General features: G+C 39.4%; 1 protein-coding gene across 4 annotated transcripts in view; it reads left to right on the forward strand.

The window, feature by feature from the left end:
- Positions 1 to 26141, forward strand: part of CERS6 (ceramide synthase 6) — a 318863-nt gene that overhangs the window by 247973 nt on the left and 44749 nt on the right. For all 4 annotated transcript variants that reach the window (NM_001256126.2, NM_203463.3, XM_005246440.6 and 1 more), the window contains 2 exons: positions 10757 to 10885; positions 13628 to 13734. In NM_001256126.2, the coding sequence (NP_001243055.1) occupies positions 10757 to 10885; positions 13628 to 13734 (236 nt within the window). The remainder of the gene's footprint in view (positions 1 to 10756; positions 10886 to 13627; positions 13735 to 26141) is intronic.

Here is a 26141-nt window from a genome sequence, read left to right on the forward strand (position 1 = left end):
CTTCTTCCAGTGTGCTGCAGAGGGCTGCAGCATTACAGAGAGCCACGCGGTGCTGCTGGTCTCGGGCTCTGGGCACATAAATTCGGGTCCTCAGGAGTCCCACCTCTCTCAGGAGGTCTTGGTGGCCCTTGGGAGGTTTGGTCATTCAGCTTCTCATGGGGAGTTTCTCTCAAGTCAATTCTAGGGGCCTTGGGAAAACACCCACTTTGGCCGTTTATAGCTCTGTCTCTCTCCCTGAAGTCGTGAACTCCTTCACTTTCCATCCCCATAAATATAAACAAACCCGTTCATCTGTCCTTCCCTTTGGCCTCCTGAAAAGAGGCACCCCTTCCACTCAAGGCTCACCCTTGCACCTTTGTTCTTTTTGTTTGTTTGTTTTTTGAGACGAGTCTCGCTTTGTCGCCCAGGCTCGAGTGCAGTGGCGTGATCTTGGTTCACTGCAACCTCCACCTCCCGGGTTCAAGCGATTCTCCTGCCTCAGCCTCCCAAGTAGCTGGGACTACAGGTGCGTGCCACCACACCCGGCTAATTTTTAGTAGAGACGGGCATTTCACCGTGTTAGCCAGGATGGTCTCGATCTCCTGACCTTGTGATCTGCCTGCCTCGGCCTCCCAAAATGCTGAGATTACAGGCGTGAGCCTCCGCACCCGGCCGCACCTTTGTTCTTGATCCCCATCTCTTCCTGTCTTCCAGGAGTAGACCTTGTTCTGTTTGTTAGTCTGTCACTTATATGTGTTTTCCAAAGTGTCTCCTCTTTCCTGCCTCCTTCCTCAGAGTCATTTTCCTCACACGTCCGTTTCTGAGAAGCAACCTGCTATGGTAGTTAGATACCTGAGCTCTGGAGTCACACAACTGGATTCAGAGCTGGCTTAGCCCGTCCTTACTGTGTGACTAGAGAAAATGATGTGGCATTCCCGTGCCTCAGTTTCTATGTAAAATAGAGTTTCAAAGTCATACTTGCTTTATAGGGTTGTTGTTAAGAATAAATGACAGTGTCAGAAAGAAGAGCCTTTGGCACATGAGAATTAGGCAAATCAGAGTGTAAATAGGAATTCACCAGGTAGTCAAGGTGGGATGGGGCCAGGAGCCAAAAGAGGAGAAAACGCAAGCATCACAGCCAGAAGAAAAAAAAACAAAAACAAAAACAAACCTGCATGGCCAGAGGTCTGCATAGAGACAAGAAGCAGCTTCCAGGAAATTCTGCAGCTAGAATTCTGTATGTTTGTGAGGGGTTGGGAGTAGGAAGCTCAGGCAGTTGAAGAAAGAGGAGTTAGAATGTGGAGGATAAGGCTGAGGATGATGACAAGAGTTCCCCAAACCCCTCCTGACAATTTACATGCCATCCCAACCTGGTTGACCTGAAGAAGACTTTTTCCATCTTCTATCTAAAGCACAAAATTGAGTCCCTGGTTACCCATTGTCAATTTAGGCCTCAAGACCTTTATAGTAAATGGATGATGGCTTTTGAGTCCTGGGATGTTTCTGATTTTAGTAGAACACAATCTGCCCCCTACTGATCATTCTGGATGTTTTCAGCCCGAATGGGTTTATTTGATATCATAAAGGGTATTTATGTCTCTGTTCCAGGGGTTATTGCAACAACAAAAAAAAAATGGAGAGTTAATTCTGCTAACCCTTGCATCACTTAAGACTGTTAGGTTGAGTATGTTTTAAATGTCTCAGAAGTGACCTTTCCCCATTAAAAGCTGTGCAAACTAGTGTGATTGAGCCAAGGGTAATTTAAACAGAACCCAGAAGGTGTGTCTAAAGACTTTCATCTCCAGGCACTTGTGATTTAGCAAGGCTCGTAGTGATAGAGAGCTTCTGAGGATCTAAAGTTCAATGAATAGAAAGACATATGTACAATTAAGAAAACTATCTACATCATTTGAAAGCAGAGTGTATTTGGAGAGTGTGCTTTTGATGGGGAGAGGAAGGGAGGCATGAAGGAGGACTCCAGGGCATTGGAAATCAAGCTCCATGCTCTGGCCAGGCCCATCAGAAGCTAACCAACAGCACTATCTTACTGTTTTCTATTGTGCAAATAAAATTTTATTGTGTCCTTTTCCATGGTGATAAAATAACTAAAGATTAAATATTAACTAAATAATTCACAGTAGACAAGATTATGAGTTCTTGATCTTGAAATGGGGCCATAAATGTTGCACAGGAGAAAGATTGGGTAAACTCTGCTTATACAATGGTTATTTCATTTCTATATGTTTCTAGAAGCCATAAAGTAATGGCACATCTAGCAGTAGAGAAAATAATACTGAATCCAAAGAAGCATCTTACTTTTAAAAGCTTGTGAAGTCTCCTTGGTTTTCAAATTGTTTTAAAGCTGTGGTTATACTTGATCATGAGAATTTTGATGGTTCTCTTTCTTTATAGTTTATCTGAATTTTGAGAGTAATATTGAATGGATTACATCCGGACAGCTATGAAAATTAAATCTCTTGACACATTTTTTGGTCTGACCCAAATGTGTTGAAGTTAGCCACGAGCCTATGCCATTGCCACATCTTAGATAATATGACTTTTCCAATATGATGCTTTCCCATATGTCCTTTGATGTGACTCTAAGGCAGGGCATAAAGCTTTTCTGTAAAGGACCAGGTAATAAATATTTTAATTTTTGGGGACGTGTAATCTCTGTTGCAGCTTCTCAGCTCTGCCACTATAGCAAGAAAACTGCCATAGACAATAAGAAAACAAATGGGCGTGGCTGTATTCCAATAAAACTTTATTTGCAAACCCAAATATGGCCATCTGGCCCTTTGCCTATCTTTGCTGTAAAGTAGGATAGCCTGTTGTGCATATTTGATGAACAGTGGGGATGTCAGATTTGAGAATGGCTAGTAGAGATAATTAAATCACATCAGTATACATTTTAAAAACATTTTGATAGTAACCACAGAAAATTCAACATCTTTAAACCAATTAATTTCATGGCACTTGGTGTTTTTAAAATGAAGTTTGTGTGTTACAGTTATCCCCCTCAAGGACCTAAATGTGTATACATTTAGTCCAAAGGGAGAGAAATCTATAATCTATTGGGAAAAAAGTGTTGAAGTAGATTCAATTCTAGATCTAATGTGAATGAAGTTTTATTCACAGACTGAATTTTGGAGAAGGGAATAATTGATTCCTTCCTGCCAGGACTCCTCCACCTTATAATGGAACAAACATTTCCCAAATAAGTCACAGTTCTTCATTCCTTTCCAGATTTTCCTGTAAATATTTATCTTAGGGTGCATAGGCTATACATAAGAAAAAAGTGAGTTCTAGTTAGAGTTTCGAAGAGCCTTATGTGAAATACCTTTCTTTAAATGGTCCGTTTAACCAGCTCTCTTATAGTGAGCCAAAATTCAAAGCCAGTTGAAATAGAAAAACCAAATAATTCGTGGGAGATTGTACATACATTATGTGAACTCTTCACATCATAAGTTGGTAAGAGATGGTTATGATTCTCCTCAAATTGCCTACTGGGGAGAGACCCAGAATCAACTGATTTCTGTAAATCACCCCAAATATACTTTTATTATTTAGCCATTGTCTTAAGACCCTACACAATTTTTTAGTCCTTTATTTCTTTGTTTTGTTTTTTAACCAAATTATTAAAGCTTTAGAAGTTGTACTGCTATTTATTCTAGAAACCACCATAAGACAGGACAAAGCAGCAAATTATTCTGATGTGAATTTCTGGTACTACATTTCATTTTTGCCTTAAGGACGTATTTTGTGATTTATTTGCACACATTAGTTTTAATATTAAGATTGTTAGTATACCATTTGGGGGTTTTGGTTTTCTTTGTTTAAGAGGTTTTATATATATTCATCCTGATCATCAGGACTTTACCCATCTCCAAAGGCTGAGAAGCTATTATATTTTTATATTCCCTTAATGGAAAAGCTGCTTATGATTATTCTTGGTGTATGTAAATTTTGTCTGAAATCCTCACCATCTCCATCTGTTTATTCATTCTAAAATGGAGATGGAGACTGAGTAGCTACTCTCTTTTGCATGTTGCCAAGTTACATGCTTAAAGTCCACTTCTACCGCCAGCATTCTGAGTTTTATGCCAAGGCAGAAAAATCACAAGAGAGAAAGGAAAACTGTTTGTTATTGATCCCTAAAAAGAAAAGCATGTTACTCTGTAAGAAGTCATATACATTTGTATGTGCCTTGAAATTTCAAATAAGAGTACTGTTTTTTGTTTGTTTGTTTTTTAATGAGGGGTTTCTATTATTACTGCAGTTGCCATAAAATGAAATCAGCTTTAAGCTATGCTGCTCTTCTTCTGTTTCCTAGACAGTCTGAAAATCAGTTCATTGAATAAACCTGGTGCTATTACCTGACTTCTATTCATATTAGTTAGATTACAGACTTATTAATTTTATTAAATTCAGGAAAGCTAATATGCGTCATTTGCATCGAAGGGAGAAGAGCCTTTTTTCTTGCACTTCAGAAGTATTTCATATTCCTCATGTCTGTGCACATCTAAATCAGGCTTTAATTAAAATCTTGCTCTTCTAAATTCCCTTTATAAAGAGGTTCACTAATGTTTTTCTTAATCAGTTGCAAAAATTATTCCCAGAAGACACTGCATAAAATTAATGTATTATCCAGCCAATGAGAATTTGGGGAACAGTTCCTGTTTATGTATGTGTATGTATTATTTTTAATGAAAAATGGGTGAATTTTGTTTTTGTAAAGGCATGTACATCAAGATGAATTTGTAGTGCCTCCTGAAAACAATATTATTTCAGAGATTCTCTACAGCTTGATCATTGTGAAGGGAGTTCCATTATATAGACGTTCAGATCTGTGTCTCAATGAGAGGTAGATCCCTCTGGATGTTTGGTGCTAATATTTTATTGTACATAAAATTCCCCTAGAGAACCGAATTAACGATGCTGATTTTCATTCTAACAGTTGGGGATGGAGCCCAGGTAGCTGGAATTTTACCTGTACCCAGGAATTTCTGATGTGAAAGCTACACAGAACAGACTAAGAAACTTTTCTAGGTTCCCTAAATGCTATTTGAAAATGTAATAAGGAAAAAACAGCGTTAACTTACCAGCTTTTAATACTAAAATAGATGGCTCTTCCTTGAATTCTTTTATTTGAGACTTCTAATGAAGTTTGAGTGAAGACCATGTTTGATTTTTCCCCCTTGTCTCTGATAATTAACATAGGCAAAGCTACTGAAATAAAGGTCAACATTAGGGTAAATATCAAGCAGGGAACATAGAAGGAGCCCTTGATAATGGCTGTGAGTATGTCCAGAAACAATATGGTAGAATAGCAGGAGGTTGAGGACACAAGTAAAGCACGTGTCCACGCCAGTCTGTTATGAATAAAGGCTTTGGCATCAGTCTTCAGTCTGAAGACCAATAAGAAATCACAGTCTCTCTCTTTAATTGCAGTTATAGAAAATGCAGGAAAACATTTCAACCTAAAATGCTAATGTTCTTTCAGCCATGACTGTGTCTATGTGTGCACTAATCACTTTCAGCAGTTGCAAATATAAGGATGGAAGTTTTCCACCCTGCATTGATAAAATCCAAATTGGCAATTTGTTTAAAAATGGTTATTTGGACCAGATTCAGTGCCTACTCAAAGAAATGTGTTGGGTAAGGAGGATGTTAGTAACACATAAAATAATTATTACATGGCCTTTATTAAAGGTATTTTATTATGTATAATGCGTTCTGAAGCAGAAATGTAAAAGGTGACATCCATTATTCATTCTTTTTTCATATTCATACAGATAGGACTATAATGAAAATTGGTCTTCTGCCACGGGCATAACTGTGAGTCCTTCAGTAATAAAACAAATGTTTTGTAGGACCAGGTGATTTATATGCAAAAAACATCTTTACAAAGCAAATTTTGTCTAAAAAACAAGGCTCTTGTTTTTAAAGGAGCCGTGCTGTATTGGCAAGGCCATTGGGTTGTTTACTGATGTTATATCAGATACATCTCAGGAAACTTAATTATAAAATGGTACTAATCCTCCATAAGTGTTTTAATCAATTTATATTTATTCATTTTAAAATTAAATAGAGAAAAACCCTTGTTCTCTTTCAGTGAGCCAAGAGCAATCATTCAGAGCTGAACAATAGAAAATGTGGAAAATATTGTTCTTTTTAGGTATTCAGCTGGTTAAACTTTGAAATCTGTGTATTAAGCATAGCAAATATAAACTCAGTGAATTTCTGAATTAAGCAGTGTGTGTTTTCATTTGATTATGGTTAGGAAACAGTTTAAAATATTAGTTGAAAGGTAAGCTCTACGTTAATGGATCCATTGTTTTGAAGTAGTTATTATCTGGTAGAACACTATACTCCACATGATGGAATCTAATAACAGCTTGGAGAGAACAGATTTTATCTTTCAGTGGAAAATGTTATCAGTGCAATTTTTATTGTATGTCTAAGGCATTTTGGTATTGTCTAACTTTAATGACTTAAGAAAACCTTAGGTACTAACTGCAAAGACATCAGAATTTCAGAAGTAGGTAAAACTGGTAAGTTGCACCTGTACATAATCACTTATTAAACTCAGAGTATGGTCATCATTTCTCTTCTGCCAGTGAGCTGAGAACTAGATGTAAATGTGAGTCTAGAGGAAGGAATATAGTGGTAGGTTCTTAGGCCACTGCATTCTCAATGCTCAGTTCTGCCATGGGCAGTTAGAATTAACTGTTGGAAGACGCATGTTTCCCCTGACAGTGGAATCTACCATCAATGTGTCATGCTGTTTGGAGACTAGGTTAATTGAAAATAAGAGAAATCGTTGCACTTCATTTCTTAAATTATCTGACCTCATTTAGGAAACTAATATACTGTTTATCCTAGCAGTAAATCAATATGTATGGTTGTCCATAAATGTTAGGCACTTTCCAGGGTAGAAAATAACCTCTGGACATGTTCACTAAGCTGTAGACAGAATCACTTAAGCAATTAAAGTTGTTGAAGTTGACTTTTGAAACCCCAACCTGTAGTGACATCACCAGCTACTCAGCTGCTAAATAAAGAGGGTGCATGTGTGGGCTCTCCCACACTCGCTCCCCGCCACATATACACAAATATGAAATTAGTAAAGACTTAAAGTATTACTTAATCACTGTGGCTATGAAGCCTAGAATTATAGAACTGACAGGATAAAAATAACCTGATCCAGTCTCTTAATTGTATAGATAGCCAGACTCAGTGGCTCAAGCCTGTAATCCTAGCACTTTGGGAAGCTGAGGCAGGTGCATCACTTGAGGTCAGGTGTTCGAGACCAGTCTGGCCAACATGGTGAAACCCCGTCTCAACCGAAAATACAAAAATTAGCTGGGCGTGGTGGCTCACACCTGTAATCCCAGCTACTTGGGTGGCTGAGGCACAAGAATGGCTTGAACCCAGGAGACGGAGGTTGCAGTGAGCTGAGATCCCACCATTGTACTCCAGCCTGAGTGACAGAGCGAGACTGTCTCAAAAAAAAAAAAAAAAAAGTATAGTTAGGAAATTACCCCTACCAAAAATGACAAAATTAATAAGAGTTGGATTACAAATTGGCTGTTATGAAATAGATGTTCCATAATTGTTCAAGACACCTATATTTTTCAGTAGTCTGGTCCTGTCGATAAGACCCTGGTTTTAACATTCTTGCACTTATGTTTAAAATAGAAATTGCCTTAACCACAGACAAACCAAACAAAAAAATAATAACTGAATTGGAGAATAGAAATTAGAGACAGAGGCCTCTCTGAGTTGTGGAAAGGTGGATAGGTAAGTGAGGGTCCAGGATAGGTAAGTGGGGGTCCAGAAGAAAGTGGCTGTCACCCAGTGAATCAGGAACCAGGGCAGGAGCCATGAGAGCTAAAGGGTTACAGAGGAAAAGTACAAGGCAGTTCAGAAAAAGAGACACCACTAGGGGCCTCCTCCTTCCCCTTGGGTAGAAGATTAAGTCGAATTCACAAGGAACTGAGAAGTCTACCTAATCTGGTTTCTGTTGCCTTTGTAAACCAGATGTTCAGCTTGGCTGAACATCCACCAACCTTAGCACTGTCACCCACACTGATTCTCAGAACAAACAGGAATAGTCCCAAGGGAATGTTGTAGGATGGAGTTTATGAAGACATCTGTAAGAATAAAAACCTAGCCCTGTTTCATTTTCATGACTACAAGTAGTATTAGAGAGTACTTATAAGTGCTTTGTACCTTTTCCAGTATGATAGATAAAATTAAGTCCTTACAACCCCAGAAATAATTTTATTCTTGACCCTTAACCTCCCAATTTATATCTGAATACAAATGCTACGTAGAACAGTTACATATCAGGGATTAAATAGTAGCGTGATTACTTTTTATTCAACAAAGTTAAAATATCTTTTTAAATAGTGGTAATAGATAAGAAGAAGCTACTAATTTTTACAATCTGTAATGTTGCTGCTCTGGCTTCTACACGTCTCTGCTTCTTACTTGACTCCAGCCACACTCACCTCCTCACTATTCCTTGAACACATCAGGATAGAAAGAGTGTGACGGGTAATGCCTTTGCCTTGGTTGTTTTCTCTGGCTTGAATATTTTCTCCCCATCTCTCTGTAAGACTAGCTTCCTCATCATCTTTAAGTCACCTTCTTAGAGAAGCCTGCCCTGGTCTAGCCCCTCTGTGTACTATTATAGTCTATCTCCCCCAGCAACCAGGACTCCTCACCCTTCTCATGATTGCTTCTTTTTCCCCCATAGCACATTTTTACCTTCTACTATAAGAGATCATTTACTTATATTTTTTGTCTGTTCTCCCCTACTAGATTATACAGGTTCCACAAGGGCAAAAGTAGTTGTCTAGTTTGCTTACTTATTCATCCTCAAAGCCTAGAACTGTCTAGAGCATAGTAAATGCTCAATCACTATTTTTAATGAATAAATGACCATATGAATATTGACTTTTCAAGATAAAAATTTAGGTTTACTCCCCTAGATTTAACCTACATGTTGTGCTTTTTCATAATCACGATGTGCTCATACGTCAGTTTTCGGATATGCTTTTCATTTTCTTGCTGTCTCCCCTAGAGAGAGAGAGATTCAAATAAATCTACCCTAGATGAAGAGTCTATGGGGAATAGACCTCTTCCTCCAGAGGCTTCAAATAGAGCAACATTAGGGTCAGTCTTGGCATTTAAGTCTCAAAGAAATTCAGACTTACTCTGAGAGAGATATATAGATTAGATAAAAGTATGAGTAAAAGAGACACTATATTTCTAAGCAACAGAAATTCCATATCACAACAAACCATGTCCAGATGGTCAGGAGATAATATCAGAAAAAAACAATCTTCACTGAGGCCAAGATGAGGTTCCCTTGAAGCCGACCAAAATAAGGATGGTCAATTTACTGTTATTTCTGCAAAATATATTTTTTTCTAATGTCTATGGACAGATAATGATTAAAATTCAGGGCTTCAATCCCCACCAGTATGCAGTATACCTAAGTAACAAGCATGCATATGTACCCCCCTGAATCTAACATAAAACAATTTTTAAAAATTCAGAGCTTGTTTGTGTAGGTCCTATCAGAAGAGCCAACATGGTAGGATTCTTATTTGAGTATCCCAACAGGCGTATTCTGGGAGAAGGATGCTAACACCGAGATGCACATTCCAAGAAATCTGAGATAACAGAAAACAATCACCCCCGTCTTAATCCATTTGGGCTGCTGTGGCAAAATACTGTAGATTTGGAGTCCTGTAAACAACAGAAATTGATTTCTTATAGTTCCAGAGGCTGGGAAGTCCAAGATCAAGGCTCTGGCAGATTTGGTATCTGATGAGGGCCCATTTCCTGATTCATAGATGGTGCTTCTAGCTGTGTCTTCGTATGGTGGAAGGGGCAAAGCAGTTCTCTGGGGTCCCTTTTACAAGGGCACTAACCCTATTCATGAGGGTTCTGGCCTCATGCCCTAATTACCTCCCAAATACCCCACCTCCTAATATTATCGCCTTGAGCATTAAGATTTTAACATGAATTTGGTGGGCACACAAATATTTAGACCATAGCACCACCTTAAACCTTGCTATGTGGCTTATCAACCCTTCTGTAGGCAGTGGACTGCCCAGGCTGGGAGCCATACGATGCCCTTTTCCTCTGACCTTAACCTACTGTCCCTTCATAGATGCCACACTCTGGTCAAAGACACAGCCAATACCTGCCGAAGCCCCAATCATTAGTAGTCAGAGAAGTGGTCCAGTTAAACCTGTACAGTTGCCCCAAAGATCTTCCTAAAGTTCAAATGCAAGTAGTGCCCTTCTTTTCTTGAAATTATGTAGTGATTTCTCCCTTAGCTTCAAATTATTTGGCTTGGTACAAAGCACTCTTTGTGATATGGTCTTTGTCCTGGCATTGATCGCATTCTTGGTAGTCACTGATGTCCTCCTATCTCCTGTGACCCTAAAGAAGTGCTTTGCCCTTTTTGCCATATGATGACACAGCTAGAAGTCACCATCTATGAACAAGGAAGTGGGCCCTCTCCAGATACCAAATCTGCCAGAGCCTTGATCTTGGGCTTCCACTGATCTCCTATGTGTCTCTCCCAACACGTGATGGACTCCTGGAGGATAAGAATTATACGTTATTCATACCTTATTCATCCTCAGTGCTAGGTTTGTGGAGGTTCTCAGTAAATACTGGTTCAGTGGCTGAATGGCTAAATGGAAATGTGATGTTGCTAAACTCTAATATGGATGTTTCTTCTTTCCTCAAGGACTTTGGCATTATGTTCCTGCACCACCTTGTATCTATTTTCTTGATTACCTTTTCATATGTCAACAATATGGCCCGAGTAGGAACGCTGGTCCTTTGTCTTCATGATTCAGCTGATGCTCTTCTGGAGGTAAAAGTTTTCTTTCATCTTTAAGAATACAAAATCCAAAATTTAGGAAGTCCCCAATCTCATTAGCTCTTCAGTGTTATGCTAGATGGTGCTTGGGTACAATAGTAAATAACTACATTGAAACTGCAGAGTGTTTCTTTGTAGGTTAAGCTGGTGAAAATGAGATTCTAAATTAGTATGTAAACTTTTATACAAAAAAAAAGTTGTTAATAAAATGCTGAAAACCTTTACTGTTCTATACTTAAGAAATGAATGATTTTACAAAGGAAAATCATTATTTGATTAGGTTTTGTTTTGTGTGTTGTAACTTTTACCCTGATTTATTGGGAAATTTTGTAAAACGCAGTTTAGTTACTAATGGAAACTATACATCCCAGTAAAATTAAGTAGGGGTCATTGTTTTTATTGCCAATACACATTTACCTAAGGTTTTTACAGTGGAAAGGGCATATGAATTGCAAATTTTATGTAGAAACTATGTTTTCTATATATGTAAGTATAAGGAATATCTGTGGAAATATTGGTTACATATGAATTGGTTACTATTATTTAGAATTCTTAAAGTGGTAAAATAAATAAATATGTTCTAGCATATTTCAAAAGGTAAAATCCCAAGGAAAACTGTGATGTGATATTTACTTTTAACTGTGGCTCCTGTGAAGAGTCATACTCAATAATGTTCATAATTAAAGTCTTTGCATTTTATATTAAGAAATTAATATAACTGGTCAGAATTACCTTATAAGAGTACAAAGCCTATGTAGAAATGGTTCTTACAATCTGATCTGAATTCTGATTTTTTTTTCCTTTAGGCCCACCGTTTTGCTTTAAGTGCTTTGTTTTGCCACCTTTGAAGCATTTACTATACTGTGAATGTAGACTAGACATGCCCTCAAATAATGACCTGTTATTGCAATATAAGCAGAATTCTATGCTATAAAATTTGAATCTACCATAAAGGCAATTAAGGTTTGAGGTATATACAGCACTTTGTTAAAAACTCTGGTCCTTTAGTGTTATGAAACAGAAAAATAGTCCTAATGGGCTAGGTAAGTCCAACGATAATTTGTTGCTATGATTTTTAAGTGATTCAAGCTAACCTCTATTCAGCATATTTTTTAGTAGGATAAATATAATTAGTATAAGGGCAATCCCCTGGAAATGAGTTACCATTTGGTTAAATCTTAAGTTTGCTTGAATGTAGAAATTTATGCTGCAACCTAAGGCTGTACAATCAATCCTATACAATTAGCCAACTTCATTGCCTGTGGAGATGGCTGGCATGATGTTTGGTAGTGCCATGATTCAAAAAATTTCTAATCAAGTTCCACTTGTATCCAGAAAAAAAAATTCAGAAATCTCAGTCATGTGGCTTAAAAACAAATGTTCTTCATCACCTAGATTCTCTTAAACATTATAAAGTAAATAACACGTAGAGTATTCAATTAATGAGATAGGTCACCTGTCAGCTCCTCAACATGTTATCTTATGGCCTAGACGTTTCTGAAAAGTTTGTGTTTAAAGCTTATTTACTGAATACTGGTGAAAAAATATAAAAGAAAAATTTCATGATTTACCTAGCCAGGAGAAGGTAGAAGGTACCTTTTAACATAATTTATGGTGTTACACCTGAAGTGTTCATGAAATTAAAAGCTTATAATCCTAACTTCCACCCAGTTAATAGATATTTCCCCTTAGGAATACATTCCTCTCATAGCTTTGTGCTTTATTTAAAGCTTTTAAATTATAGCCTCTGTGGATAATGTCAACAATCTTTTCAAATCTGACTCAGTTAATTTAAGTTTCCAAGAAGTAGAAAATAATGTTATAAATTCAGAAGGCATCATGAATTTATAACCCTGTGTGTAGGTGCTGTGAATTCTATGCAAAAATGTAAAAAGAGATGATTAAGCAAAATTGTTTTCAGTCTCACCTGTTTTTAGAATCATCTGTAAAAAAAGTAGATGGTAGAGAAAGGGATGTGATTTCTTCCCTAGACTAATTTATAATATAAAAAGTCTTCACTTAAATCACTGTCATAAATTATGAGAGTACTTTTCACAGACCCTTGAACATTAGTGGCTTTCATCTAAAAATGACCCATTCATGTAGTTTTGAAAATTCTACCTAAATGGATTAGTTGAAATGACATCATCTTGACACTTTCTTCATTTCTAAGTTCATGAGAGTAAGCCAGAAGAGCATCTCCCCAGAGTACTCCTTGTGCCTGTTTAAAGAAAACCTACAATTTTAAGGAGAAAGGAAGAAAAACGCAGAAAAGCTCCATATATTCTATATAAAGTTTGTGGCCCCGGTATTTGAGATTCATAAAAAGGTTTAAAGGATTGTCCAGCACTTCTGTTTGAACTGTTAGGCCAGATTTCTGTTTTGGTGTCTCTGGCTTGCTAGTATCATCTATGATGCAAGAATCTCTTATTTTTCTCTCTGTTTTTCTGAAATCAACCATACAAATGAATTTCTCAGGTTGCTGAATATTTTATTAAATCTGTAACAGTCAGGAATTCTACTTATGGCTAATGCTGCCTTTCACTCAACTTACGGGTAATTTATAAATACTGGTGCATGATGTATGACATTTCAATCGCAGGCTGAAATGCATAAAAATGCAGGCAATTTTATGCATCTGGTAAGGTATATCTTATAGGAGATTCATGCATATTGAAAGAAACTTTTTATTATCAGTTTAACTACATTAATATATCACATTCCTTTCTTTCATAGGCTGCCAAAATGGCAAATTATGCCAAGTTTCAGAAAATGTGTGATCTCCTGTTTGTTATGTTTGCCGTGGTTTTTATCACCACACGACTGGGTATATTTCCTCTCTGGTGAGTATGCCAGTCTCCTTCCTGATAGAGCCACCCTTTCCAAATAAGCTTTCTGAACCATTTTCCTTTTGAATTTTACTGTAAGTATTTACAGGTTTAAATATATTGGGGGGGAGGGGAAATACCTCAAGAAGCTGCTTGATTTCTTCTTCCAGAAGAGGGTTGCACTCTTTACTAATGATTTCCACAGGATAGTTGGAAAAGGATGTGGCTTGCATGGCTTCTGAAGCCACAGAAAGCCATCTGTCATAGAAGGCACTAGTCTAGAATATGACTCAAGAACCTCAGCTGTGAAGGTTGGAATTAAGAAAGAAACCGTGGTGTTGCAAACAAGTATATGACAGGAATCTCCTGTACCAGGGGTTCACAGAGGGTTGTCCCTGGATTAGCAGTAGCAGCATCACCTAAGAACCTGTTAGAAATGCACATTCTTGGCCCCACCCCAGGCCCACTGAGTGAGAAACTCTGGATATAAGTCCTGGCAATGTGTTTTAATAAGCCTTCCTGATGATTCTGCTGCATGTTAAAGTTTGAAAACCACTATCCTAGATAATTCTTTTCATTAGCTGTATACCTTTCTAACCAAATAGAGTCTTTGAATTATATCCAAAGTCTCTTCCAGCTTTGTGTTACTTGGCAAATAGATGCTTTTCATATTTCTTCCAACTTACTGAAGAAAAACGTTGACCAAGAGGGATTCCTGCTCCACCCCTGAAGAATTTCTTTAGGTTGACCTCAGTCCCCCAAACACCAATCTTCCTGTATGATTTTTCTACTCATTACTAAGCCTTCTAACTGTTAGATCGTCATGCCTGCTATTTCCCCACCTTGTTTCAGGTATATAAAAGAGCTTTGTCAGAGGTCTTAAGGAATTCAGGATTTACTCTGTTGAGTCACTCCCTGCACAGGTAGAGGCAGAGTCAGAAAAAGAATGTGAAGTCAGATTTTAGAAAACCTTTGCTGACTCCTGGGTCTTCATTCTAAGTACTTGCCCCCATCTGTGTGATTAGCCATCTACAACAGTAAGCTTACCAGTCTAGAATATCCATTCTTTGCCTTTTCCATATTGTTTAGGTGTGGACTTTAAAATTCCAATGAGCTGCCATTTTTTGTGTGTATTTAGTGAAAATTTACTGGTCATTTGCTGCATTACCAGCACTGAGATGGTACTGGTAATGCTGATAATTCAGTTAGACATAGGGCTGCCCTTGGGGCATTTACAGTTGAATTCCTACAGGTCCTTTTAATATTCCAGTTTATAATTTGGGGTATGGGGTGGGGGAGGCCAGAGGTTATAAATTTTTTTTCCAAACATTTACTGGACATAGGTAATATAGATGGATTATCAATATTTAAATAGTTTTGTTGCATTTACTGAGGAGCTCTGTTGGCTAAATTATACATTATAGCAGATATATTTGTGTGTGTGAAATAGTGACTCACCTGTAGAGGGTAAGGTGTAATGGAGGTAGATCAGACTTTAGTTTTAAGAAGCATTTCATAGACCTATTTCCCCTTCAAAGACTGTGCTTTAGGTAGAAGAAACAAAATTATTTCCCCTGCCTTATATTCCTTTTGTTTTCAACCCATTTCTTTGGATTCACCAACAATACCTTCCAGGTTCCTCTTGACTATATTTGAATTCATCATGAGTCATCAGAATATTGGTAATTGATGGGTTTAGTAACACTTGGCTTATTCTCTGTTATATCAGCAATCCATGGTCCTCAAAGACAGCATACACCATGATTAGCCTTTTAAGAACCATGCACTGCTCCTCCAGACTTCTCTTCCAGTCACAATACATCCTTCTAGAACAACCCTGTCCAAAAGAAATATAATGCAGGCTTTATAGTAATACAATATTTTCTAGTAGCCATACTAAAGGTTCTTTTTTTTTTAAAAGATGAAAGGTGATATCCATTTAAATAACATATTTAACTCAGTATATTCAAAATAGTATTTTTTTTTTTTTAAGACAGAGTCTTTCCCTGTCGCCCAGGCTGGAGTGCAGTGGTGTGATCTTGGATCACTGCAGTCTCTGCCTCCCAGGTTCAAGTGATTCTTCGGCCTCAAGTAGCTGAGACTACAGCACGCACCACCAGGACCGGTCTAATTTTTTTTTTTTTTTAGTAGAGACGAGGTTTCACCATGTTGGCCAAGCTGGTCTCAAACTCCTGACCTCAAGTGATCCACCCGCCTCGGCCTCCCAAAGTGCTGGGATTACAGGCATGAGCCACCGTGCCTGGCCCAAAATACTATTTTAACGTATCAACACATTAATATTAAAATGTTTTGAGTATTTACAGTCTTTTAATTTATATTAAATCTTTGAAATTCAATGTATATTTCACATTACCACACATCTAGATTTAGTTTAACTACATTTCAAGTGCTCAGTAGCCACACGTGCCTAGCTTATTGGACAGTGCATTTCCAGAAAAGAACAACTATCACAGTAACCAGATTCGACACATTTTCTGGGGTCTGAGTATCTTGATTGACATTCTTAAGTCTGCTGTTTGCTGCGTCCGTACGAGTCAGGATAGTATACTGGTTAGCTGGGACGTTTGGACCAGTGTGCATGGGTTCAAATCCTGCCTCCACTGCTTAACACCTTTGTGCTGAAGTTTCCTCATCTCTTAAATAGGAATGATGATGATGCCCACTCACAGCATTGTTGTAAACACTAAGTGATTTTATGTCTCTATAGAGCTAAGAAACATGTCAGGTTCATAGTAATTGCTATGTAAGTATTGGCTTGTTAAGTGAGATTATTTATTTAACGTGAAAAGAGAGACCTCTTAGGAAATGAGTAAGAAAAAAAGAACAGTAACTCAATAGAAGTATTTGGAGTGGCTCTGAATAGGTACGGTTCAAAAAATATAAATGACAAAATTATAGAAAGATTTAACCTCACCATAAGCAAATTGTAGCTTCCAGAAATACAGTCATGTACCATATAGCTATGCTTCGTGGCCAGTGATGGACCACATATATGGCAGTGATCCTACAAGATTATAATGGACCTAAAAAGTTCCTATGAGAACATCATAGCGCAATGCATTCATTACTGATGTATTTGTGTTGATGCTGCTGTAGACAAACCTATTGCGCTGCCAGTCACTCCTCATTCTTCCCTCGTACCATCCCCTGGCAACCACTAACCTGCTTGCTGTCTCTGTGAACTTACATTTTGTGGTCATTTTATATAAATGGTTTCATGCAATATGCGATCTTTTGTAACAGTTCTTTCAGCTTCCTGATGTTTTCAAGATTTATCCATGTTGTAGCTTGTATCAGTACTTCATTCTTTCTTATTGGTGAATAATATTTTATTGTATGGATATACCACATTTTATTTATCCATTCATGAGGTGACAGACTTCAGGATTGTTTCCATTGTTTGGCTATTATGAATAATGCTGCTATTAATGTTTGTATACAAGCTGTTGTGTGAACACACATTTTCAGTTTTCATAGGCATATGCTTAGGAATGGAATTGCTGGATTACATTGTAACTCTAACTTTTTGAGGAACTACCAAATGTTCTTTTTCTTTAGTTTTTGTTTTTGTTTTTTTTTTTGTTTAAAAAAAACCAAAAAACAAAAACTAAAGAAAAAGAACATTTGGTAGTGTTTAAAAAAAAAAAAAAAACCAACGGGGTCTTGCTCTGTTGGCCAGGCTGGGCTACAGTGATGCCATCATAGCTCATTGCAGCCTTGAACTCCTGGGCTCAAGTGATTCTCCTGCCTCAGTTTCTTGAGTAGCTAGGACTACAGGTATGTGCCACAATACCCAGCTGATTTATTTATTTATTTGTAGAGACGGGGTCTCACTGCATTGCTTAGGCTAGTCTTGAACTCCTGGCCTCAAGCAATCCTCCAGCCTAGGCTTCCCAAAGTGCTGGTATTACAGGTATGAGCCAATGCACCCAGCCCACCACACTCTTTTACAGAGTTGCAGCACTATTTTACATCTGACCAGCAATGTATGAGAGTTCTACTTTCTCTACTTCCTTGCCAACACTTACGATTTTTCATATTGTATTCATTTTAGTGAGTATTAAATGGTATCTTATTGTAGTTTTGATTTGCATTTCAAATTCTTTACCCATTTGTAATTTGGTTATTTGTCTTTTTATTGTTGTAAAAGTTTATGCACGATTATATATCTGAATGATGAACATAATAATGTATATTATATATAAAGGACTTATCCGATATATAATTTGCAAATGTTTTCTCCCTTACTGAGGGTTGTCTTTCACTTCCTTGATGATGTCCTTTGAAGCATAAAAGCGTTTAGATTTGATAAAGTTTGTCTATTTTTTCTTTTGTCACTTGTGTTTTTGATGTCGTAAGAAACCATTGTCAAATCCAAGGTCATGAAGATTTACTCCTATTTTTTTTTCCTAGGAGTTTTCTAGTTTTAACTCTTCCATTTAGGCCTATGCTGTGTTTTGGGGTGATTTTTGTGTATGGTAGAAGGTAGGTATCCAAGTTCATTCTTGTGTGTGTGGATATTCAGTCATCCCCACACCATTTCTCGATTGGCTATTGCTTTTATTATGATCATCTTCAGCACGTAACTCTAACGAAGCAAACTTGTGTTTGTCACATTCCTCATTTAATGCCCTTTACTGGCTTTCATTCATTTCCACCTCTTGGAATCACACTATATTTTATCTGTGGCCTGCTTCCTAAGTTGACTCATTCGTCCTGCCTGGGAACTCTTCATCCTGTCTAATAAGCCAGGAGGTCAGACACGTTTGCACAGCCCTTTCTCCTCTCCAAGCTGGGATGCTATCCAAGGGAGTGTTGATTATTTCTGTCCAGAGGACATCTGGGATGCAACCCTCCCACACACAGGTCACCAAAACTGATCTCTCCACTGTTCCTTCCTGATGATATCACTGTCCTCTGTGGCATCCCTGTGTAGATGGTTCCAGCCAATGCCTGGCCTTGCTGTTCCTAGGACATGGCTTACCCCAGAAAGTGCAATTTTTATATCCACTCTGTGCTGCTGTTGGCCCTGCTGACCTGTTTAATGACCCTATTTTGGAGGGGAGGATAAAGAAAGTGGCAACTCCTCCTCTTGCCCATCACTACACTGCCCACAGCCTCACCACAGAATCCCTTGCTTTGCTTTTTCTTGTTCACAGTCTTTCCAGGATTGAGAGATAAGTAGAATATGATGGGGGAAGAGACTTTTGTTGTCAAATAATTCAGCTACCACATGAATAATTCCAGTAGAAGGAAACCCTACACCTCTAAAGACAGTCCCTTCCAGTTGCACACAGTGGCCATTATTAGAGAGTTCTGCCCCAGGCTGTCATAGTTTACCTCCCAATACTTTCTGCCTTTTTCTCCTAGTTCTGACCCTGGAACGATATACAGTGTCTAATTCCTGTTCTGTACCTCAGCCCAGCCAGTATTCAAAAAACAAAAAAATCCAAAAATTCTTACTCCCCCCTTTCCTATTATCTTCATCAAGATAAACACTGTAAATTCCTTCAGTCACATTTTTCTCTGGCTTTCATGCTTGTCTTTTCTGATTCTGAATTTTATTGTATCAAATCATCTGGAACATTGCATCAGTTCTTCAAAATGTAGTTTTCTCTACCAGTTGTCTTAATAATACCTTGTTATTTTGAATCAGTACTTGTATGATTATGTCATATAATGACTGTGGAATAATCTTGTTAATACTGTTATGAGTTTCCTCCAGGTACACGTGATGGTAATCTTTGTAGAAGCATCATCTTCTCACATTTTACTAACATATGAAACTCTGAAATTGTAACTTCATAATATGACCATCCTAGAAGCCAAGATAATGTGTCTGTATTTCCTGTTCTCTGTAACAACATTCTTCTTCCGTAATTACATATCTTTTTGCTAAAACTTGAGCAAACATATGAATAGGTTTACTATATCAAGAGTCTTACTGCTTTACCAGTTTTATCAAATAATCAAATATTTAGTGGGTCTCTCAGGATTTATCTGGTAGGAATTCCTTCCTAATGTGTCCAGAATTGGTGGGTTCTTGGTCTCACTGACTTCAAGAATGAAGCCGCGGACCCTTGCGGTGAGTGTTACAGCTCTTGAGGTGGTGCATCTGGAGTCTGTCCCTTCTGATGTTTGGATGTGTTCGGAGTTTCTTCCTTCTGGTGGGTTCGTGGTCTCGCTGGCTCAGGAGTGAAGCTGCAGACCTTCGCAGTGAGTGTTACAGCTCTTAAGACGGTGCGTCTGGAGTTGTTCATTCCTCCCGGTGGGCTCGTGGTCTCGCTGGCTCAGGAGTGAAGCTGCAGACCTTTACGGTGAGTGTTACAGCTCATAAAAGCAGTGTGGACCCAAAGAGTGAGCAGTAGCAAGATTTATTGCAAAGAGCGAAAGAACAAAGCTTCCACAGTGTGGAAGGCAACCTGAGTGGGTGGCCACTGCTGGCTCGGGCAGCCTGCTTTTATTCTCTTATCTGGCCCCACCCACATCGTGCTGATTGGTAGAGCCGAGTGGTCTGTTTTGAGAGGGCGCTGATTGGTGCTTTTACAATCTCTGAGCTAGACACAAAGGTTCTCCACATCCCCACCAGATTAGCTAGATACAGAGTGCCGATTGGTGTATTTACAATCCCTGAGCTAGACATAAAGGTTCTCCAAGGCCCCACCAGAGTAGCTAGATACAGAGTGTCGATTGGTGCATTCACAAACCCTGAGCTAGACACAGGGTGCAGATTGGTGTGTTTACAAACCTTGAGTTTGAGACAGAGTGCCGATTGGTGTATTTACAATCCCTGAGCTAGACATAAAGGTTCTCCAAGGCCCCACCAGACTCAGGAGCCCAGCTGGCTTCACACAGTGGATCCCCCACCGGGGCTGCAGGTGGAGCTGCCTGCCAGTCCAGCGCCGTGTGCCTGCACTCCTCAGCCCTTGGGTGGTCGATGGGACTGGGCGCCGTGGAGCAGGGGGTGGCACTCGTCGTGGAGGCTCCGTCCCCACAGGAGCCCACGGAGGGGGTGGGAGGTTCAGGCATGGCGGGCTGCAGGTCCCAAGCCCTGCCCCATGGGAAGGCAGCTAAGGCCCAGCGAGAAATCGAGCGCAGCGCCAGTGGGCTGGCACTGCTGGGAGACCCAGTACACCCTCCGCAGCCGCTGGCCCGGGTGCTAAGCCCCTCATTGCCCAGGGCCGGCAGGGCCGGCCGGCTGCTTCAAGTGCAGGGCCCGCCAAGCCCACGCCCACCCGGAACTCCAGCTGGCCTGCAAGCGCTGCACGCAGCCCTGGTTCCCACTCATGCCTCTCCCTCCATACCTCCCTGCAAGCTGAGGGAGTGGGCTCCGGCCTTGGCCAGCCCAGAAAGGGGCTCCCACAGTGCAGTGGTGGGCTGAAGGGCTCCTCAAGTGCCGCCAAAGTGGGAGCCCAGGCACAGGAGGCGCCGAGAGCGAGCGAGGGCTGTGAGGACTGCCAGCACGCTGTCACCTCTCACTAACACATCCTTAAATAATTTGATTGTTCCTTTATTAAATGACATCTGTAGAATCAGATAGTTTCACTGTTGATACAATTAACAACAGACTTTCATATCAATATCTTTTTCAAATACATACTTATTTTTCCCAGATGGTGCTGTATGTAGTCAAGATCAAATTTTAACCAAGTCTTTATTTATCATATACTTTTAAAGATTTGGGTTTGTAGTCAGTATTCAAAAGCTTCAATGGTATATATTGGATACATGTTGCACTACTATTATCAAACGCAATCACTGGTGCCCCACCTACTTGCCATCACTCAAAGTGTTAAAAGTTTAAATATTTTCTCTTGTATTTAAATTTTTGGAAAGTCATGTCTAGTTAGCTCTCCTCAACTCAAAAATCTATGCATTGTAGCCTTGACTTTGTAGTCACACAGTCAGTGATCTGATCCTTTTTGAGAGTAAATCTACCCATCATTGTAAGCTGTTACAATTTTCATTGATCTGCATCTCTCTCTCTTATAGTCCACTTATGTGTAATCTCTACGTTCCTAACAATTTCCCGTAAAAGCTGTGGTTTTAATATGGCATAGATTGTACTCAAACTCATTGTAACATCCATCAACAGTGCCTTACAGTGGCTACTCAGTATTTGTTAAGTGAATTAGGTACTCTTTAATTATAAATGGTCTCATGTCCATTTTCTTACTTGATTTCCTTAAATCTTTGCAAAGAAAGATAGGTGCAATTTCTCCGTTAATACACAGAGAAAGGAGATTCAATTAGTCAGTGATTCACCGGGCTCTCTGGACTCTGGTCTCCTAATATCAGTTCAATTCAACAGGTGCTTACTATGTTCCATTTGTCCTTTCTACAATACAATATTCTCTTATTTAAGGCCATAAAGCATTTGATGAGATACATTTTTGGTGGTAGTTCAATAAAAAATGGTCATTTAAAAATGATTGCCTCTGTCGTTCTGCCCCAGTCAAGATAACATATTGCAAACGTTATCATCTATCAGTGATACATTAGAATCTGGTAAAGAAAGGAGAAAATTCACAAAGATGCTGAAAGAGAAGTGGCATGGTACAGTGGCTAGAAAGGCTGCTTGTTTTGAGTCACATTTCTCCTCCCACAGTGTCTGAAGACCAGATGTGTGATTTCTCTGCACCTATGTCCTCATCGGTAAAATAATGGTAAATACTCTACCTACCTTACCAAAAATGTTAAGGATCAAGTGTAATAGTATTTTACAAACTATAAAATTCTTTATAAATATTAGGCATTTTTCAAAATGTGCTGTTATTGTTAAAGATATAAATTCCCATTATAGCCAAGTGGTCAGAAGTTCTTATTATATTTTATAACCTCCTACTAGTCTATATTAAGGAATCATAACCATAGATACATCTGAAATAAAATTCTAAAATGGTCTATCCAATTATGAGGCTTAAACTGTCTCATTTTAGTGGCTTCTGTTCTCAGTACTCAGTAAGCATGTAATATTGAAACTGTACCAGTTTGCCATATTCTCACAAATCCCAAGTGAATGGGCATACCACTGTTGCCAGAACCTCTTCCCATGGCCAGTTAATGATTTTCCACATCTCCAGTCATGTCCCATGAAGTGCCAAGGCCTTGGCTACAGGAGGGTTAGAGTCAAATACGTACCTTTACTGGTCAGCTACTGTTCAGACAGAAGCATCTGCCTTCTCAGAATGTTGCTTTCTGTTGCTCTGTTCACTGAAAAGTAGGGGAATTATCTGTGGATTTGTTCTCTCTGAAGATTTCTACAATTAAAAAAAAACAAGTTGACTGGGCATGGTGACTCATGCCTGTAATCCCAGCACTTTGGGAGGCCTGAGGTGGGCAGATCACGAGGTCAAGAGTTTGAGACCAGCCTGACCAACATGGTGAAACCCCATCTCTACTAAAAATACATAAATTAGCCGGGTGTGGTGGCATGCGCCTGTAGTCCCAGCTACTCAGGAGGCTGAGGCAGGAGAATCACTAGAACCTGGGAGGCGAAGGTTGCAGTGAGCCGAGATCGCGCCACTGCACTCCTGCCTGGAGACAGAGCGAGACTCCATCTCAAAAAAAAAAAAAAAAAGTTACAGAGGAGACTCAGTCATCCTTTTACCATTTTCCATGATAAGATTTGAAATTCATCTAGACATGTAGGAGAAGATTAGCTTTTTATCTGATTTATTTTTCAAAATGTATTTTACCAAAGTGGCATGGCTTATATGCTTTTCTGAATTGTTGATAAGGAACAGATTAGTCTCAGACTTCACACATTTGAGAAACCTGACTTTTCATGCAATCCCTTGACAAATTTGCTCTGAAATTTGCCTTGGTGCTGGTCTATGTTAAATATATTAGAAAGATTTGAAGGATGAAACCTGCTATCTTTTGGGCATAAGGTATTTTGGTGTGTTTTTAGTAAGTCTTACATCTATCAGCATTGTTTAATACCTTCACAGGATGTGAAAGAGGTTAGATGGAAATAATGTGTGTTGAGATGTCTCTTTCAGATGAACATACAAATTTTAATGTAATTTCAGGATTGAAGGGCTAGACCAGAGGTCCACAAAGTATGGCCTGTAGGACAAAGCAGCCCACTGTCTGTTTGTATCAGTAAAGTTTTATTGGAACACAGCCTTGCCCATCTATTAATATTGTCTTTGGCTGCTTTATGCTACAGTGGCATGGCTGAGTAGTTGTGACAGGGTTATGGCCCAGAAAGCCTAAAGTATTTGCTCTCTGGTCTCTTGCAGAAGAGACTTGCCAACTCTCTGGCTAAGCCATTAAACATTAGTCTCGTGAGTAATAATAAGGCAGTGTGGGTGGAGTGAAGTACTGAATACATTCAGACTTGGAATAGTCTTTAAAACTGTTGTCCACGTTAGGGGAAAAAAAAAATGCAACTACTCTTTTTTTTTTTTTTTTTTTTGAGATGGAGTCTTGCTCTGTCACCCAAGCTGGAGTGCAATGGCGCGATCTCGGCTCACTGCAACCTCTGCCTCCTGGGTTCAAGTGATTCTCCTGACTCAGCCTCTCAAGTAGCTGGGATTAAAAGCACCCACCACGCCCAGCTAATTTTTGTATTTTTAGTAGAGATGGGGTTTCACCAGGCTGACCAGGCTGGTCTCGAACTCCTGACCTCAGGCAATTACTCTTAATATTGAGAAGGGAGAACAGAATATGCTCTCGATTAAGTAGGCTTTTTCCTTTTGTGACTTGAATCAACAAAAAAATGCATTGTCGCCGGCCAGTCGCAGTGGCTCATGTCTGTAATCCCAGCACTTTGGGAGGCCGAGGAGGGCAGACTACCTGAGGTCAGGAGTTTGAGACTGGCCTGGCCAACATGGTGAAACCCCATCTCTACTAAAAATACAAAAAATAGCCGGGCATGGTGGCACACGCCTCTGTAATCCCAGCTACTCGGGAGGCTGAGGCAGGATAAAATTGCCAGAACCCGGGATGCGGAGGTTGCAGTGAGCCAAGATTGTGCCACTGCACTCCAGCCTGGCCGACAGAGCGAGACTCTGTCTCAAAAAAAAAAAAAAAAAAAAAGGTGCATTGTCCTAGTAACGCTCTCTACACAGAATTAATGTCTTAAGTGTTCCTTCCCAGTCCCTGCAGAGAAGGCTTTGCTGGAGGAAGAGAAAAAATAAAAAGATTGTTTGCTCAAGGTATTACAAGATGTGTTTACCATCTAGGGAGAAAATTCAGTATGACCATTTCATCTGTTTTAAAAATATCTGAGTGTCGTAATAAAGTCTCATGCTAGGACCGAGATTTGAAAATTGTGTATTTGACCAGGCATCTCACTTACTTGAGAGAACTGATGTTTTATGGAAAGTCCTAGAGCAGATGAAGAACCGTCGTCAACTATGTTTCTATTTGCTTAGGCTGTTATACAGCACAGTTATATACCAGGCTAGTGCTCTCCATCCTCACTTCCCATCACCTCCCTGACTTTGGTCTTGGGTCTCTCCTGCCAACTTTCCACTCCCATCCATGCTGAGCTTCCTCCCAACTGTCCTAAGCTCAGCCTTGGACTGCCATGTGCCTGTCCTTTGCCTTCTTCCCTGTGTGGACCAGTACCAGAACCATCCCAGAAACCTTCCCTGCAGAATCCCAGAGTGCAGGGCTCTGTGGTGCTATCAGAGCAGGCCACGCTGGCTGTGTCCTTTAGTTGGCAGAACCTCTTCCATGCCTCTGATGGCAGTGTTGCCAAGGAGACGGAACCACAGGATCATTGGCATCCCTAGAATCCTTCTGTTCCTTGTGGGGCTATGTCTTATCATATATTATCATTTAACTTTTGATATCTTTGTGTCTTGTTTCCCAGGCAAGAGAGCAAACACTTCACAAATTCCTCATAGATAAAGAATCATTTCTTCTTTATCGATCTGCTTATCACACGTTACTGTGAGCCTGCTGTGCATCAGGCACAGTGTGGGTGTTGGGGATGTAGATATTGATTAGGTTATGTGCCCAGGAACAGCTAGCACTAAAAAACCATCAATAAATATTTGTTAAATGGAGAATGAAATTTTAGCGTTTCCCCTGCAGTTTGGCACAATGACGACTGAGACTTTGCAGCCCATGTGCGTCTTTCCTTAAGATACGGAATCGGCCCAGTCGAAGAAGACAGACAAGAGTGACTTAGTAGCTTTCAAAAGCAGGAGCATCCCAGCCACTGAATTGTTTTGATCAGATAGAAACAGATCAGATGGAAACAGTACTGCCTTTAGTAAGTTTAATAAGTCCTGCCTTTATCCACAGCTGGTCATAAAACAGAAATGCTTAGTTTATAAAGTGGATTGTCAGTGAATTGGAAATACAAGCATCAAATGTATTTAAAGAAAATCACAAAACAAGTAGGTCTACTAAAATGCAGACTCTGGCTAGCTGTGACCAGC

The sequence above is a fragment of the Homo sapiens genome, chromosome 2, assembly GCF_000001405.40.
Source record: "Homo sapiens chromosome 2, GRCh38.p14 Primary Assembly".
Lineage (NCBI taxonomy): Eukaryota > Metazoa > Chordata > Mammalia > Primates > Hominidae > Homo > Homo sapiens.